The sequence below is a fragment of the Homo sapiens genome, chromosome 17 (genome assembly GCF_000001405.40).
Source record: "Homo sapiens chromosome 17, GRCh38.p14 Primary Assembly".
NCBI classification, from domain to species: Eukaryota; Metazoa; Chordata; class Mammalia; order Primates; family Hominidae; genus Homo; species Homo sapiens.
In genome coordinates this window covers 34,687,777-34,707,045 of record NC_000017.11, presented here as the reverse complement: position 1 = coordinate 34,707,045, position 19,269 = coordinate 34,687,777, and the positions used below count along the sequence as shown (strand labels likewise).

Genomic DNA, 19,269 nt, shown 5'->3' with positions numbered 1-19,269 from the left:
GAGACCCCATTCTCATCTTATGGGAAGTGTGAACCTGATGAGGGAAGTGTGGCTCCCAGTAAGAAGGAGCACCAACCTGGCAAGATATTGTGGCTATCTCCCTTATGGAATTCTTGGGCTGGTGGGGCAGATATTATTCTGGTTTCTGTTGGTGGGGTGCTGGTCCAGATGAGTTAGGGGAGCTGAATATAAAGTTCGATGCAGAAAGATGACTAAAAAAGAGTATTCAACTGGATCCTACAGGGAAGAGGGTGGTCCCTAAACTCAGGTGGCCTTTGTCTTGGAGAGAGGTGAGTCAAGCCCCTCACGCTCCAGGAGCACAGTAATAAAGGAGATCATAGTTGGGAAAAGTGTGGTGTGTATGTGTGTGTGTGTGTGTGTGTCTGTATGTGTCTGTGTGTGTGTGTGTTTCTGTGTGTGTGTGTGATTCCATGCCTAAGAAAGGAGCTCTTATTCTAAATTTGTTCAACAGAGAATGTAACAAGGAAATCTTGAGACAGATTCTCTTGTTCTGTTCTTTGTCTTTTGGGACAGAAACACTCAAATTGGGAACAAATATGTAAATATTATGTCTCACTCTAAAGAGTTGAAGTTGCTTTTGCACTTTCTTGAGTTATGAGAAAATGAGTGAACCCACCTGGTCACTGCATGACTCCAGAATAATTCTTTCCCCTTCTCTGGGCCCCAGTTTTCTATCTTCAAAATAAATGATTGGATTTAGAAAACCTCTCAGGTCTTTTCCAGTTTCTGACATTCTAGTTTTTGTTTTTCTGCCATTCTGCTCAACCACTTTCCCCTTCTCCCGGCTGTCAGGAGCTGTCCACGGTTCTGAAGAGCTTGGGCCCAGAGAGAATCAACCATATTAGATCTGGCCGAATTACAGTTGCACTTTTTTCCCCCCATTTGTCAGTTGTCATGGTTTTTAAAATTTTAACTTTATTTATTTTTAAATTGACAAGTAAAAGTTGCATATATTTATGGTAAACCACATGATGTTTTGAAATTTCGTGCATGCATGTGGTAAGTCTATAATCAGAGCTGTGGGTGACATAGCCAAAATCTAAGATGGAAATTCTGCCTCCAAGCAGCTTGTGCAAGTCGGAATATACATATAGTAGGATCATGACTAAAGGAGATTAGAGGACATTTAGTCCAGTCCTATCACTTTATTGTGATATTTACTCCCTGGTTGCACTGATCAGGACTGCCATTGATGCCTGTTTTCCCAAAATTTCCTGTGTCTATGGCAGAGGGGTCATGAAGAGGAATTGTGGGGAACTGGAGAAGACAGGGAGCAAGTTATTTAGTCATATGCTCCTCCTTCTTCTTTATGGGATGAGTGTGAGTGTGATTCCATGGGGCTGGCAATGGTCCTCTTATCACCAGCTGATCTCCATGACCTCAAGGTTTCCCTCAGATATCTTTTTTTAAAAAAATACAGAGTCTTACTCTGTCACTCAGACTGGAGTCCAGTGGTGCAATCATAGTTCACTGCAGTCTTGACTTCCCTGGGCTTAGGTGATACTCCTACCTCAGACTCCTTATCTGGGGCCACAGGCACATGCCACCACACCTGGCTATTTTTTGTATTTTTCATAGAGACAGAGGTTCACTATGTTACCTAGGCTGGCCTTGAACTTCTGGGCTTGAGTGATACACCTGCCTCAGCCTCCCAGAGTTCTGGGTTTACAAGCATGTGCCACCACACCTGGCCAGATATCTTAACAAGAGAATTGACCTGAAAAGTCTTACCTTTCCCCTCTATTCCTGGATTTAGAGCAGGCAAGGGGGTTGAGCTTCGGTAACCTGAAGTTCAAGTGGGTTTTGCCTTCTTGGATTTCCGAGGTGGTGTTCAAAGTCTCATTGAATATTTGAGAAAAATAAGATACAGAAGGGAGGGTAGAGGAGAATCTATCATCTATTGAGTCTTCACCATGCTTTGGGTGTTTTACGTTTATTATTTCATTTAGTCCTCCTAAGATCCCTGTGAAGAAAGATGTCTTAATTTCTTTGTGCTGCCATAATAAAATACCATGGATTGGGTGATCCATATGGAACATAAATATATTTCTTACAGTTCTGGAGGCTGGGAAGTCCAAGAACAAGGCATTGGCAGGTTCAGTGTTTAATGAGTATCTGCTCTCTGCTTCCAAGAACGTATCTTGAATGCTGCATCATCTGGAGGGGAGGAATACTGTGTGCCCACATAACAGAAGGTTGGAGGGAAAAAGAGAGTGAGATAATTTCCTTTGTCAACCCCTTTTCTAAGGGCATTAATCCATTCATGAGGGCAGAGCTATCATAACCTAAGCATCTCCCAACACGCTTCACCTCCCAACACTATTGCATTGGGGATTGAGATTCCAACACATGAATTTTGGAAGAGGACAAAAACATTCAAACCATAGCAAAGGATTATTGTTGTTATCAGCTTGATAGATACAGAAGCAGAGGTACAGAGAGATTAAATGCTTGGCCCAGACTCACCAGGTAACAAGAGACCTATACTTCTCCCACTCCAAAATGCATACAGGTCCAGGAGTAGAAAGAAAATGGGCCTAAAATAATCTCATATTGAGTTCTTCCAAATTTCCTGTTTTTCCTCATCTGCAGCCCCTGTCTTTGTTATAGCAGGTAAAATACCAGATTTCTTCTTAGGGTATGTCCATTACTTTTTCTTCTCTGGAGAGTGGAGCTGGGATGGAGATTCTCCCTTTTTATTCTTGCCACCTACTTCTTAAATATGTCTCTTGGAAGAGTTTTTGTCATGCTAAGTGACTTTACAAAATTAGAATGGTTCAAACAACATGTTGTGCTCCACAAGGGTTGTTTGGTGGCTCCCTAGAATAGTAAATTTGCAGGTGGGGAGGCGTCCTGCTGGGATCAACTTTACTCACCTAGTAGCTCCTGCTGGTGCTATCCTCTTTCCACTTGTCACCTCTACACTGTGTGCTGAGATTATGTGAATAGCAATGGTGTTTTAGGGAGAGGATCACCTAAAATGCCCAAGGGAACTTTCTTGTAAATGTTGGAAATATGATAGAACTGTAAACATTACTTGAAACCAATTGCATCAATTGCGAAACACATGTCATGATTCTGCTTATTCTGCAGCAGTGTAAAAATGCTAAACTGTCATCAGAAAAGGAAATATAATCAAAAGAAGGTTGGACAGGATTCTCCAGAATCCTAGGGTTCGGAGAAACAATCAGGACCTAGTTTGCAAGCATGAGTCAGCACCATGGACAGCGATGGAGCTTGTGGCACACCCCCTTCCCTTGGTTCCTGCTTAATGATGCTGTGCCCTATGGCTAGGTTCAGGTCCTCCAACTGGCAGACCTCCTAATCCTGGCCTGTTTTCCTGACTCCTTCCTTCCCTTTGCCCCAGCTACGACATCTCCTGGGGCAGTGAACAGCTGGCACTGCCCTGGCACATTTACAGGACAAATTTGCCACTTTCAAAGCTCAGACCTCTGACATGGAGGGCATCTGGGCTGTTCAGGCCTCCTCCCCACGGGGTAGGTGACCTTCTTCTTTGATGGAGGAGCAGGTGGGTTGATTTGGCTCTAGCGAAGATTTTTTTCTGTGACAGGTTGCCTAGAGCCATTGGGCAGAAGCCCTCTCCCTTCCCCCACACCCAGGAGACTCTGGCTACAGGGTAGAAGGAGAAAAATTAAAACTAAGGCTTATTATGGAATTAGGGCCATAAAACCACAGGCTACAGCACGCAACAGCTACTGCCATAAACCTAGAGTCCATTCAATCATGGAATAGGTACTGTTACACATTAAGTGGGAACATTTATGTACAGGTAACAGAGAATAACTCCTGATCTTGTGTTTATGGTAGTAACTGGCTCTTTATGCAGCATTTGTGGCTGCTTAATTATAGTGGATTAACAAAGAGGTCTGGGACAGAGAAGGTCAGTGTACATAAAACTGTGGCCAAGGTTGAATTCCATGACCAAGGACGTAAGTCAGTTTGTCCATGCTTCTGCCTCCAAGAATGATGGTGCCGGTATCTACATCAGATTGGTGGTGCTTACGTAGGGATTTAGGAAACATGATGTTTTGAAGTATTCCTTGGGTTCTCCTTTCCTATCCCCCCAGAAAATCTTGATTCAGTAAGTCATGGTCACTGTTAGCATTCAGAACTCAGCTCTGAGTCTGGTCTTAAAGTTTAGGCTCCTTCCTTCCAATCTGCTGATGGCTTCTAGGGCCTCCCCTGATCCATTCAGCACATAAGACAGTGACTGATTTATGGGGTAAAACTCCTGCTGCTCCCTACTTCCGGAAAAGGCAATAAGCTGCATTCTAATGACACATTCAACTCTGTAAATTCAACAAATATTTGCCCCACACAGTTTTGCTAAGCAGCTATGGTATGTGAGGCTCTGGACACAAGGGGTGTAAAGTGAATTTGACACAGTCCCTTCCCTCAAAGAGTTTCTAATCTGGTGTGGGACCTGTAAAGGTAACAAATTGCAATATAATGTGCTAGATGTAGTAACAAAACCATGGTTATTATCATTATATGAGGGTTAATGAATGCATTACCTGTGGCTAAAATACTTTAGAGGCTGAGATGTGCTCACCTCCCCCAAAGAGGCTTAGCAGAGGTGATTAGTGTATATTGAAACCTGCTTTGTGAAGAGCAAATGTCTGTGATGCCATGTCAGAGGGTCGGATAGGCTCCTACTTGCTTCACAACTGGAACAACTTCTGTCCCCTTTTCTATCTCTACCCCTAGCTTCCTGACCCCAAGGTTAATTCCTTTGTGTAATTATACACATCATCCCTGGCCCAGTTTCCAAACTCCTTCTGAGAAGTGAGCACCCCCAGGTCTAGAGCTCTTCTTCCCCACAGTAATCTGATAACATATAATGAAAGGTTACTGCAGTCTTGTTTTATTTGTGACTCAGGGCTATGTGTGGCTTCCCTCTACTCCTCTATGTTCCATTGCTCCATTTAATTGAGAGTTAACCACGTATGCAAGGAAAAAAAGCATCCTGGGAAGGATAAGAGGATCATCAGCTAGAAAACTCTAGGCAGTTTTTCTGAAGGGAGTGTCTGACAGAAGGCTTTGAAAGATGTAAATATATGCAATTAACCTGGTTTCACCTGTAGGAGCATTGTAGGGGCTGGGGGATGGTGTAAAGTATGCAACTAATTTGTCCTGTTCCATCCCCCTCATGTCTGTTCTTGGGTGGTACCTGGCTAGGATTGTGCACAAAAGACCCTGAAGATCTTTCACTGTCAGAAGGAACTGCAACCCAACACACTCTGGAGGCTGACTATTGTTCATGCTTTCCAGAGGCAGAAAATGCTGTACCTTTCCCAGTCACCCCTGATCCCCAATGCACACACCTGTAAAACGTGTTTCAGAGAGCTGTACTGCCAAAAATAATATTAATATGTTCACAGAACCTTACAGTTCATGAGTTTTTGACTTGGATCTAACCAAAGCCCTGTAGTATGGACAGGTTGAGAAATGATTGTTAGATTGATTTTATAGACAAGGCACCTGAGCCTTAGACATGCTCTTGTCCCGGGTCTGCCTTAGGTGGCAGAGCTGGGACAAGAACTTAGGACTCCTGACTCCAAGGCAAGGTAGTTTGGCTTTACCATACATGAAGCTCCATGTCAGCTGAACCTCAACTCCTACTGTGGCATCTGACTCTCATTTCTTTTCTTGGTCTTTGAGAGAATCCATAAGGGGAGAATCTCCACATGCTTTGAAGCTCCCTGGGTTTAGTCCATTTTCCTGAATAAGATCAACATCTAGCATTTATTAGACATCATTTGCAGGCATTTTCTAAATGCTGCACATGTATACTTGTAGCCGTGTATATATGTAGCCATGTATACATTACATGTATGCATATAACTCATACAACTCTATGAAGTAGGTTGAAGATGGTAACCAACTTACCCAAAGTCCCATGGTTGGCAAACGGTGAACCAGGTAGCCTGGCTCTGATGAAGAGCCCCTCCTTGAACAAACTTAAGTCAGGCTCCCCTGAGTCCTCTTCCCAACCAGGCCTTGACTTTTGGACTTTGGTTTTGTCTTTGCATTGCCTGATTTTAGCAAGAATCCTGCTAAGTCGGTTTAGCAAGATCCTCCACCATCTATATCTGAGCAAATTCCTCATCCTCTACCATTCCCCAGTTGATATCTGGTCATTCTGGCCTGCCTCAAGCAAAAATCTGGTTAGGTTGGTTTAGCCAGAAATCCCTCTTTCCCCTTCAAATGTCTACTTAGTGATTTTTCACCCATCAATCACCCCTCTCCATCCCACTCTTTGGCTATAAGTTCCCACATTTTCATGTTGTATTGGAAGTTGAGCCCTATCTCACTCCTCTACTGCAAAACTCCATGGCAGTCGTCCCTATACCAATTACAATAGCCTCGAATCAAGCCTGCCTTGATTCATGACAAGAGTTATGACTAATTTCTTCTTTCACAGCTCTAAGGTCTATACCCTTAACCATAATGCCACACTACTTCTCCTGTGGAAGGAACACTGGAGGCTTAGGTTCAAGTCTTTATTCTGCATTTATTTGCAATGTGACTTTGGATGAGTCACATAATGCCTCTGGGACTCAGTTTCCTTCATTGACAAGTACCAATAACAATAACTCACCTTTACAGGGTGCTTTGCAGTTTACAAAGTGCTTTGTCAGACATTGTTTTTTTTATTTGTTTTTTTCTTTGTTTTGAGGCAGAGTCTCACTCTGTCACTCAGGCTGGGGTGTCCCGGCACAATCTCAGCTCACTGCAACCTCCGCTTCCTAGGTTCAAGTAATTCTCCTGCCTCAGCCTCCCGAGTAACTGGGATTACAAGTGCCCACCACCATGCCCAGCTAATTTTTGTATTTTCAGTAGAGACAGGGTTTCACCATGTTGGCCAGGCTGGTCTCAAACTCCTGACCTCAAGTAATTCGCCTGCTTCAGCCTCCCAAAGTGCTGGGATTACAGGCATGAGCCATGGTGCCCGGCCTTTTGATCCTTATTACTCAGTGAAGAAAATGACAATTTTGATTGCATATATGAGGAAACTCTGGGTTTCAGGGTCCGACAAAGGTCAAATAGCTAGTATGTGCTGGAGTAAGATCTAGAATCCAGGCCTTTGGGGTTTCCTTGCCATGGAATATATAGGCCTTGGACTAAATTCTCTCCAAGAGTCCTGCTATTCTCGATTCTCTCTGTGCTGGGAAATTAAGAAAGGGGGTAATAGTGAACTCTTAGTTTGGGGCCATCCCAAGCTGGTGGGTACAGGTGTATATGGCACTCAGTTGGGCACATGATATTGTCCTTTGCAATCCCTCACCTGTCCCAAGGCTTAATGGTGGCCTCTCACAGACCATCTCCCTGGTAGAAGCTGGCTTTAGAAAATGGACATGAAACTGCGTTTTGACCTTCTCTTCTCCACTCTAAGTAGCCCCATCTCCCTTGCCCTTTCATCCTTTTCAGGTATCAATCCTGCGGATGGCCAGAAGCATCTCAGAGCTGAGGATCTGCCCCTGGAGAGGCAGAGGGAGAAAGGGCAAAAATAGAAAATAAAGATTAGCCAAAGAATTACCCTGTGTGTTCCTCTCACCTCCCTCATCTCCCCGTGTAAATTACCCTATTATTCGTTTCCCTTAGGACTCCTGATCGTCCTTATTTCTTCTTTTGAGCTAAAGTCATTCATGCAGTAAATTAGTTCTTTGGTTCAAAATAGCTCTGATTGTAGCAGTTGCTGCCACCACCAGCAGCAACACCACAGCCCCCAGACAGTTTCCAAAAAAAAAAAAAAAAAAAAAAAAGGAGAAAAGAAAGAAAGGGGGAAAAAAGCCCTCAAAAACTCAACTCTCCCTTCCTCCCACTCTATCCACATGCACAGAAATACATGGGGTGCCCATTTCCTGGGAAATGATTTCTTCGAAAGGCAAGTACATGCTGAAAGGGAGTAAAGACAAAGTCGTAACCTAGAAACAACTCTTGTTGGGACAGGAAGAATTATAGTCACCGAGGCCATAGGTCTGCAGTTTGAAAACTTCTACTCTGTTCTCTTCTCTCAGAAACTAGGTCTTGGTTCACCTTGGGTTCCTGGAGAAGCAGCATAACATAGAGGTTAAGAATCCAGGCCTTGATGTCGGATGCTGCAGGACTGAGTTCTGGGTTCTGCCACTTTCTCGCTGTGTGACCTTGGACAAGTATCTTAACAGTCCTGAATCTATAATCTCTGACACATACCTGACTCCAGACTCACTCATATCCCCAGCTGCCTACTCTTGTATACCAGATGCTGCCTACCCAGCATCTCCTCTTAGACATCTTAAATTGAACTTAACACATCCCTAAAGAAACTCTTGATATTCCCTCTTCTAACCACGCTTCTCCCACAGTCTTTCCCATCTCCGTAAGTGTCAACTCCATCCATCCTTTGCTCGGACTAAAATTCTTGATGTCATCCTCAACACCTTTCCTTCTCACACACACTAGTTTTATTCTGTTAAAAATTCCTATTGTGTTTATTTACAAAACATGTTCAGAATCTGGCTACTTCTTACCACTTCCACTGCTGCATCCTGGGTGCATCCACCATCACCTCTCACCTGGTGATTTCGTTAGCCTCCTAACTGATTTCTGCTTCTCCCCTTGTCCCCAAAGTCATTCTATAAATACATACGATGGTTCACATTTTACCTCTTCAAAACTTACCAATAACTTTTATCTTACTTAAGAATAAAATCCAAGGACGTACACAATCTACACCCCTTCCCCCAATGTGGCTATTGTTGTTATTCATTTTGCAGGTGCTGCCTATGAGTAGTTGTTTGCTTTCTTATAGTTTTGGTCTTCTCTTGACATTGCAGAACAAATTATCCATTTGTGTGTGTGTGTGTGTGTGTGTGTGTGTGTGTGTGTTGGGGAAAGGGGTTTGGGATGGGTTGGGAGAGAAGTGGCACTAAGAACGGGTGAGCTCATTTCGTAGTGAGATCTCCAGCAAGTCTTTAACAGCTCTGGTGGTGACAGATGTGTACCCAAAGCTGCCTCTCAAGGACTAATTTCACCTCTTTACTGTCTCTTCTCTACTCCTAATGGTATTCTCTCCTTTATCACCTACAGTTATGGGTCCCAAATTTTTTAGCTGGAAGCATAATTGAAGGAGCTTTTTTTTTGAACATGCTTGTTGCTGGTTCCCAACTGCAGAGATTCTGATTCATCAGGGATGTAGTGGTGTTTTTAACAAGTGACCCAGGTGAATGTGATGTGGGTGGTCAGTAGACCACACTTTTGTTAGGAGTACATAGCATGTCTATCACCTCATAAAAGTACATATACTTTTATTATTTTTAAAGTACTTTAAAAGGTTAAATTTTTGTTAATTTTCAAAAAGGAAGGTTTGGAAGTAAAATACACATGTATCAATAAAAAGCACAATGCAAAAGTGGTCAGTATAGACGGCCAATATACACAATTAGATTTATTATTAAACATGTTCAGATGATGTCTTAAGTCAGGAATTTTGACTGACTTAAGTCAGTCAATTTTGAGTGGAGCAAGAGGCCCATCTAGAAGCTGAAATTTTTAAAGGTGAACTTCACCACAGTCCAATGAAGAGATGTGAATATAATGTCCATTATGGGCTTCCTCATAGAGAAACAGGCTCAGAGTTAGTCACTCAAACTGATGTTTTTCTCAACTTCTGAAGTTTCAGCTATGTACACAGCAATATTGTTGACCTTCTTCACTTCAGACAGCCGACAGAAGAGAATTGCTATTTTTTTCAGTCCTTTTGGTCTGTCTTTTGTTTTAGTCCCAACATTGGACATTAGAATAGTAATTGCTCCCAAGAGACAATGTTTTAATTTACCAATTTACTTACTAATGTTTATCTTTGCCAATTTCTTTCCTCCCCTTTCTACTATGCATTTGAGGTTTTCCTTCTGGAATCATTTTCTTTTTTCCTGAAGTAGATCTTTGAGAAGTCCGTTTGGTGAAGTTCTGTTGGTGGTAAATTATCTCAGATTTTGGTCATCTACAGATGTATTTATTGCATGTTTGCTTTTGAAAGACAGTTTTGCAGGATACACATTTCTATATTGATGATTATTTTTCTTGAAATTTTAAAGACACTCCACTGTCATCTGGTTTCTGTTGTTTATGAGAAGTCCACTGTCAGCCTAACTCTAGCTCTGTTATATATGATCTGTCTTTTCTCTCCGGCTCTTGAATCTGATTTCTTTTCTCTCTGGACACCATTTTGGTATCCTGTAATTTCACAATGATGTGTGTAAACATAAATTAAAAAAAATTCTACTTGATATATATTGTGCTTCCTATACTTTGGATACATTTCTTTTATCACTTGTGGAAAAATTTCAGTTATTTTTATTCATATATTTTCTTTCTTTGATTCTTTCTATTCTCTCCATCTGGGCCTCTTCTTTGATACTCTATTATTTCCATCTGGGTCTCTGATAAACGCATGCTAGATCTCTTTTGATTCTATCTTCCATATCTCTTAATCTCTCTTTCATTATTTTACAACATCTTATCTTTCTGAATAATTTCCTCAGTCTGATTGCCCAGTCTACTAAATTATCTCTTCAGTGTGTCTAATTTATTATATCCCCTTCATTTCTAAAAGTACTATTTAGTTCTTTTTTAGAGACAGGGTCTTGCACTGTTGCCCAGGCTGGACTTGAACTGCTGGCCTCAAGAGATCTTCCCACCTTCATCCCCCAGAGTGTTGGGATTACAGATGTAAGCCACCATACCTTGCTCCTATTTGGTTCTTTTTATAAATATTTCCAATAATTTTTATGGTCCATTACTGTTTGCTCATTATTCTGATTTTCAAATTTCTTCAAATGTTTTATACATATTTGGTTTTTATGTCTGAATATTCATCAAATGTTTGTTTAGTGCCTATTATATACCAGTTACTGTTATAGAGATTGATAATCAGCAGTAAACTAAATAGAAAAATGCGTGCTGTTATGAAGCTTGTCTTCTAATAAATAACTCCAATACCTGAAGCCCTTGAGAGCCTGAATTTGTTGTTGGTTGCCTGTGCTGATTCTCACTCATAGTGGTTTATTTCCCTATACAGTTGTAATCTTTGTGAATTCATGTTTGGGTACACATGATGTGTGGGAATGTGAGGAACCTAAATTATAGATGCTTTTTTCCAAAGAAGACTTATTTGCTTCTTCAGGAGCCAGGGGAATGTTGTTGTTCTGGAACCAATTTAACCATTTTGAGAACCCAGGTTAAAGTGGGAGCCCTGGCTCAGTTTCTCTACCTTACCACCGCTCTTGGGTTTAATATTGCTATCAGTGGAAGCACTGATATCAGCAACTGTCCATAGGGAATACTTATCACTACATTTTTTTGTGTGGCAACATATAGTAACTGTGGCAAAAATTTAAAATTTGTGATTTTAACCATTTTATGTGTATGATTTAGTGGCATCAATTACATTCACAGTGTTGTGCAAGTATCACTATCTATAACCAATGTCCCAACAGAAACTCTCTACCATTAGGCAATGACTTCTCATTTTCTCCTTCACTCAGCCCTTGGCAACCTCTGATCTACTTTTTGTCTCTACAAATTTACCTATTATAGATATTTCAAATAAATGGAACCATTTAGTATTTATTCTTTGTGTCTGGCTTATTTCACTTAAAGTAATTTTTCCAAGGTTGCTCCTTGTTGTAATATATACCAGAACTTCATTTCCTTTTATAGATGAGTCATATTAACATTGCCTGTTTATACCACATTTTGCTTATCTATTTATCTGTTGATAGACTCAGGTTGTTTCCATCTTTTGGATATATACCTAGTAGTGAAGTTGTTGGATTGTATGGTTATTCTATGTTTAGCTTTTCTGAGGAATCAGTATAGTGTTTGCTGCAAAGTTTGCACCACTTTACATTCCTTCCAGCAATGCATGAGGGTTCTGATTTCTCCACATTTTCAATCACACTTGCTATTTTCCACTACTATTTTTTGTTATTGCTATTGTGGTATGTGTACAGTGGTATATTACTGTGGTTTCAATTTGCATTTGCCTGATGACTAGTGATATTGAGCATATTTTCATGTCCTTATTGGTTATTTTTATATGCTCTCTAAAGTCTCTTCAAATATTTTGTCCATTTTTTAATTGGATCATTTGTCTTTTTATTATTGAGTGTAGGAATTCTTTATGTATTCTGGATAGCAAGCCTTTATCAAATGATATGCAAATATTTTCTTACATTTAGTAGATTGTCTTCACTTTCTTGATAATGTCTTTTAATGCACAATTATTTTTAACTTTGATGAAGTCCAATGTATCTACTTTTTTCTTCTCTTGCTTATAGTTTTGGTACTATACCCATGAATCCATTGCCAAGTCCAAGATTTTTCCCTATGTTTTCTTCCAAGAATTTTATATTTTTATTACATTTAAGTTCTTGATCTACTTAGAGTTAATTTTTGTATATTCTATGAGATAGGGGTCCAGCTTTTCTTTTGCATGTGGAAATCCAGTTGTTCTAGCACCACTTGTTAAAGAGACTCTTTTTTCTGTATTGAAAAGACTTGGCACCCTTGTAAAAAAATCAATTGGCCATAGAAATATGAGTTTATTTTCTGGACTTTCAGTTCTATTCCATGGGCCTATATGACAGTCCTTATACCAGTACTACATTCTTTTGATTACCATAGCTTTGCAGTAAGTGTTGAGATTGGAAAGTGCTAGCCTTCCTACTTTGTTTTCCATCAATATTATTTTGTCTATTCAAGGTCCCTTGCAGTTCCATGTGAATTTGAGGATTGGCTTTTTCATTTCTCCAAAAGATAGTAATAAAGAAAAGATGTCTGTTGGATGTTTTTGATAGCGATTGTATTGAATCTGAAGATCATTTCAAGTAGTGTAGGCCATTTGACAATATTGTCTTCCTAACCATGAGCATGGGTTGCTTTTCCATTTATTTATTTATGTCTTCTTTAATTTCTTTTAACAATGTTTTCTGGAGTTCACTGTGGAGGTCTTTCACCTCCTTGGTTAAATTTATGCCTAGAAGTGTTATTGTTTTAGATGCTATTGTGAATGGTATTGCCTTCTTAATTTCCCTGTCTTCATTGCAGATGTATAGAAACACCACTGATTTTTGCATATTGATCTTATACCTTCAACATTTTTAATTCTTTTATTAGCTCTTATAATGCTCTTGTGGATTCTTTGGGGTTTTTATATATAGGATTATATCTTCTATGAATAGAGATTGCTTTACTTCATGCTTTCCAATTGGATGACTTTATTTTTCTTGTCTCATTGCTCTAGTAGTACAATGATGAATAGCAGTGGTGAAAGTAGGTGTTCGTGTCTCGCTCCAACACCTGCATGTTGAATTGCCTTCTTGCCCACTATTCCTCATCCTAGTTTTAATACATTTTGAGAGATGGGTGGGATTACTATATATTTCTCTTACTTAGGTTGAGCCAAGAGATGTACTTAAGTTTCTTTTAGCAGAAGTTGGATGTTTTTAGGTAAAAAGAGCCTTTAAGTTGTCTAGTCTACAAGTCTACAATCATTGGAAGGAATATAAAATGACCCTTTGAAAAAATCTGACAGAAAAGATGAGTGATTAATCCTCATGGCCTGGCTTGATGGCCCCCTCTCCACCTTACCCAGAATAATAAAAACAAGCTGTGTTATCATGATAGGACTTGAGTCTCAAAGAGAATCTGGAAGTTAGTCAAACTTATAAGGGTCTGGTGAGAAGGGGAGCCCATGGGAAACTGGCTTGAAGGATGGAAGATAAATATATCTCATATCCCATATAATAACCAAGTTTGTTCCATTTCTCAGCCAGGTGTCGACTCTAGGTGTTTAATCATCCAACATCTTAGAAATGTGTCATCAGTTGCTAAGGAACTTACTCTTGTGAACATGAGTCATACTTTAAGCTGTACATCTGTGTATGCATATGAGAGAGAGAAAGAGAGAGAGAGAGATGGGAGAGAGAGAAAGATATGGGAGAGATGCACTACTTATCCTATGGTGTGTTCTAAAGAGGGAAAGTAGAGAACACACTTTTGGCTCTTCTTTTCTCATCTCCTGCTTACACTTCTCCATACGATTCACTTTATTTTGCTTGAACCATCCCTCACACAGAAACCTGGAAAACTGGGATGGTAGGCATTCTCTCCCTGGGTCCTCAGCACTGTCTCCCATTCCCTGATCTCTTGGTGCCACCCATCCTCAGTTCCAGTGGACCCAGGTGTGTGAAGGCAGCTGTGCTCTCCCCTGCCCAGTGAGCTGTTGAATGCTGTGACCTCCTGCAAGTGCCTGGGGGTTATGTTGCCCAGCTACAGTTGCTGGGAGAACCTCAAGTTAGAATTTCTTCACGTTAGGATGTGTAAAATCTCAGTCACCACAGTGAATTAATGCTGCTTTTTCCTGGCTAAATGTGAAACCCATAAGTGTCAGCTCCTGGGATGATTGAAGATAGAGTGCTCCTGTTTGGGTACTGTCAATCCCTTTTCCCTCACTCTCTCTAAGTGCATTCAGCCTGCAGAGCCCATGTGGGAGTCATGGGGGACACACAGATAAACTATTGCCAGCCCTCTGAGAAGCCCCTACCAGATGGCAGATACATCCAGAGAAGCCTTCTGATGATGGAATTAGTCCTGTCCCGAGGAAGCTCCCAAGTTGACGGAAAGACATAGTCTTTATCCTAAGGGTGCTCCTAGTGTAATGGGGGAGACCTCGGTCCTGCTTAAAGTAAACTCCTATGTGATGTGGGGGACTAAGTCCCTGCCCTGGAGGAACCTCTCGTCTGATGGAGGAGGCACTCTCCATCAGGAGATGCAGATGTGATAGAACCATTCTTTCCTAGATGTCCAACTGGATAGGGGTGATCAAGCTGGCTGGGGGTGATTGTTGGCTGGAGAACTTCTGGGATACATACTGACTGACTTCCTTACACATAAGGGCTATAGAACCCTAACTGAGCCATCATTCCTGCTGGGAAATCCTGACCACTCATTTCTGCCCTCATATCAAGGCTATTCTGAGTTTTTTTTTTTCCCATTCTTGACCAGCCCTGCACCCCTTCTCCTGACTTGCCTCTTCCCAAAGCCTTTTTAAATGAGATTTTAAAACATGCAGAACAATTGAAAGAATTTTAAATACTCATATACCCAGTATCTGGATTCTACAATTGTCAACATTTTGCCTTATGTCTTTCATCAAATACCTATGTATATATCTATTCTTCAGTCTTATTTTTGGTATTTTTTAAAGTAAGATGTAGATGTTTGCTATACTTTGCCCTTAAGTAGAGTTCAATATTTGCTTGTAGTTCTGTATGTGTGAGGTGGGAAGGTTAAATTGACATCAGTAACACACAAATTATAAGTGTAGCCTTTGAGATTTAACAAATGCTTACACATGTGTAACCCAAATCTCTCTCAAGATATTGGACATTACTATCACACAGAAAATCTGTTCATGCCCCTTTTAATCACTGTTCTCACTTTGCAGAGGCAATCACAGTTCTCATTTTTAAAAAAACCCCTTTCTAGGATCTTATATAAGTGAAATTGTCTAGTATGTACTTATCATGCTTTTATTTATTTATTTATTTATTTATTGAGACAGGGTCTTACTCTGTTGCCCAGACAGGAGTGCAGTGGTGCAATCTCGGCTCTCTGCAGCCTCAGCCTCCTGGGCTCAAGTGATCCTCCTACTTCAGCCTCCTGAGTAGCTAGGACTACAGGTGTATGCCACCATGTCTGACTAATTTTTTTTTTTTCTGTAGAGACGGGGTCTCACTATGTAGTCTTGAGCTCTTGGGCTCAAGCAATCCTCCTGCCTTGGCCTCCTGAAGCACTGGGAGACATGAGCCACTGCACCCAGCGTCATCGTGTTTTTGAGATTCACCCATGTTTTTGCATGTTTCTTCCTTTTGATTCATGGAGTAGTGATCACAATTTGTTTATCCACTCTCCTATTCATGGACAGGTTGTTTTTGTTTTTTTCCAGTTAGCAGCTCCTGTGGTTAAAGTTGCTATGAATATTTTTGTACAAGTCTTTCGGTTGGCATATCTTTTAATGTGTTTTGGGCAAATACCTAGAAGTGGAATCGCTGGGTCATAGAGTAGGTATATATTTAGTATACATACATTATTGTGAAATGTCCACTTAAATATTTTGTCCTTTTCCTTACTGAGTTGTGTTTTTATTATCGTGTTTTAGAAATTCTTTTGTACATTCTTGATATGTCTATTAATATATATTTTTCACAAATATTTCCTCCTAGTTTGTGACTAGTCCTTCATTTTTCTAAACTATGTTTTATTCTAGAAGTTTTGTACTTTTAGCTTGTATGTTGAGAAACATGACTCATTTTTAAATTAAATTTTATGCATTATGTGAGATACTGGTCAAAATTCATATTTTTCCGTATGGATGACCAGTTGTTCCAGCCACATTTGTTGAAAAGATTGTTTTACCTATAGGATTACATTGGTTTCTTATTGAAAATCAAATGAACATATAAATGTGGGTTTATTTCTGGGCTCCCTATTATCTCCCATGAAATTATATCTCCCTTTATACTACCAACCTGTCTTGGTGACAGTATACTAGCTTTACAACAAGACTTGAAGTCTTGTTAAGTCCTCCAACTTTGTTTTTCTTTGTCAAGTTTGCCTTGAATATCCTAGGTTCTTTGCATTTTCATTTCCATTTTAGAATGGGCCTATGAATTTCTACAAATAAAGCCTGATGGAAATTGGGATTGAGATTATCTTGAATCCATAGAATTAACAGGGGAGTTATTGATTGGGGAGAATTAACATCTTAACAACATTGAGTTTTCTAGTACAGAAGCATTCATTTAAGTCTTCCTTAATTAATCTCGGTAATTCTTTTAGTTTTCAGTATGTAAGTATTGCCAATCTTTTGCTAAATTTATTCCTAAGTATTTTTTTTTTGCCTGATTGTGCAGAGAATTTTTGAAAATTTCATTTTCAAGTAGTTTGCTGCTGGTATATGGAAACATAATTGATTTATGTGTAATGCCCATTTATCCTGGGACTTTGCTAAATTCACTTATTAGTTCTAATTGCTCTTTTGTATATCACTTAGGATTTTCTACATAAACAATCAGTCATCTGTGCATGTGCCTTTTGTTCCTTTTTCGTGCCTTATTGCTCTGGCTAGAACTTCCAATAAAATGTTATTGGACATAATGAAAGTGGACATCATTGCTTTATTTCTGATCTCAGGGGGAATGCATCTGATTGTTTATCATTAAATATGATGTTAGCTGTAGGTGTTTCATAGATGTATTTTATCAGATTGAAGAAATTCCTAATTTTCTGAGTTCCTTTTCTTCTCAATTTGCTCAGTTTATTTTTTAAAACGATGAACAAGTATTAAATTTAATAAAAACAATTCTATGATTTTTTCTGTTCTATTCTATTAATGTAATAAATTATATTAATTAGTTTTTGGGTGTTCAGACAATCTTCTATTCCTGGGATAAACCTAGGTGATTATAATTAATTATTCTTTTTATATATTGCTGGATTTGATTTGTTAATAATTTTTTATCTACATTAGTGAGAAATATTGGTCTGGCATTTTTTTCCTTCTTTTTTTTTTTGTAATGTGTCCATCAGATTTTAGGATCAGGGTTAATCTGGCACCATAACATTCTCTTCTATTTTCTTAGTTTGTTTAGGATGGGCATTATTTCTTTCTTGAATGTTTGATGAAATTCATAGTGAAACCATCTATTATTGGAATTTTGTTTGTGGAAAGGTTTTTGATTTAAAAATTTACTTTATTTAATAGATACAGGGCTATTTGAAATTTCTATTTTATCTTGTGTCAGTTTTAGTTACTTTTGTTTTTCAAAGAATGTGTCCAATTTGTCTAAGTTGTTATTATTGTTCTCTTATTATCCTTCTAATATCTCTAGGGATGGTAGTAATAATCCCTCTCTCATTCCTGATATCAGTAAGTTGTGCTCCTTCTTTCCTTCATCAACCTAGCTTGGCTGGCTCTCCCTGCCCCTGCCCATCCTTTTTTTTGTTTTAACTAATGCCCTTGCTTCTGGCTTTTATGCAAAGGTCAAGGTGGATCTCCCATGCTTATTAGCTCCCCACTCCCTACTTTAAACTGTCTTTATTTTTTTTTTCTTCCTTCCCTCTATCTTTTTTTTTTTTTTTTTTTTTTTTGAGACGGAGTCTCGCTCTGTCGCCCAGGCCGGACTGCGGACTGCAGTGGCGCAATCTCGGCTCACTGCAAGCTCCGCTTCCCGGGTTCACGCCATTCTCCTGCCTCAGCCTCCCGAGTAGCTGGGACTACAGGCGCCCGCCACCGCGCCCGGCTAATTTTTTGTATTTTTAGTAGAGACGGGGTTTCACCTTGTTAGCCAGGATGGTCTCGATCTCCTGACCTCATGATCCACCCGCTTCGGCCTCCCAAAGTGCTGGGATTACAGGCGTGAGCCACCGCGCCTGGCCCTTCCCTCTATCTTAAAGAAAGCATAGTCCTTGATTTTTCCCATCTGAACTCTCCCCATATATATCTGACTTTAAGCCCATGTCCTGAACTCTCATCTCCTTCTCCTTTAGGGGTCTAACACCTCCAATACAATATTCTTGATCCTTCCCTCTTTCCAAATTACAACCTGTACTGCTGTTCATGCAATGGTTCCTTTAGCTATCTCCAGCCTCAGCTCTGGCTCTGACAGCCCTGAGTATCACTGTGACTTGGAAGTCTCCAGCATGTCATGCTTTTTCTCTCATTGGTATTTTTCTCATGCTTTCCTATCCATATGAAGGATATCTCCCCCCTACAATCTCCCTGGAGAACATCTGCTCAGTTCATGAGTAACTTCCTCCACGAAGCTTGGTGAAATCAATTACCTCCTTATTCTGCAGTCTACTTGGACAGATACTGTGGATAAAGGCATCTGTTATCCTTCATTGCATGCATTTGTTGATATCTTTGCTTCCACAAAGTCCCTGAGAGCAGGAACTATATCTGTTCATATTTATATCTTTAGTACCTGCTGCATTGTAGGTGCTCAGGATATGTTTGTTTATTGACTGCATAACATTTGCATTTTATGAAGATCATGGTTTCCATGGGGAATCACTCAGGCTTTTCCCCATCAGTTCCCTCTTCTATTCTCTCGCTCACCCTCTCTTCCTTAAAAGTGTGGAGCCACTGGTGATTCCTTGCTCTTCCATTAGTTACCA

The 19,269-nt window shown here is 40.0% G+C and overlaps 2 annotated features.

The window, feature by feature from the left end:
* Nucleotides 729-929: a silencer, noted in NCBI's record as "peak2813 fragment used in MPRA reporter construct". NCBI's record gives its function as "represses an SCP1 promoter by STARR-seq MPRAs in K562 erythroleukemia cells {active_cell/tissue: K562}" and the evidence as "EXISTENCE:reporter gene assay evidence [ECO:0000049][PMID:32103011]".
* Nucleotides 3,139-3,339: a silencer, noted in NCBI's record as "peak2812 fragment used in MPRA reporter construct". NCBI's record gives its function as "represses an SCP1 promoter by STARR-seq MPRAs in K562 erythroleukemia cells {active_cell/tissue: K562}" and the evidence as "EXISTENCE:reporter gene assay evidence [ECO:0000049][PMID:32103011]".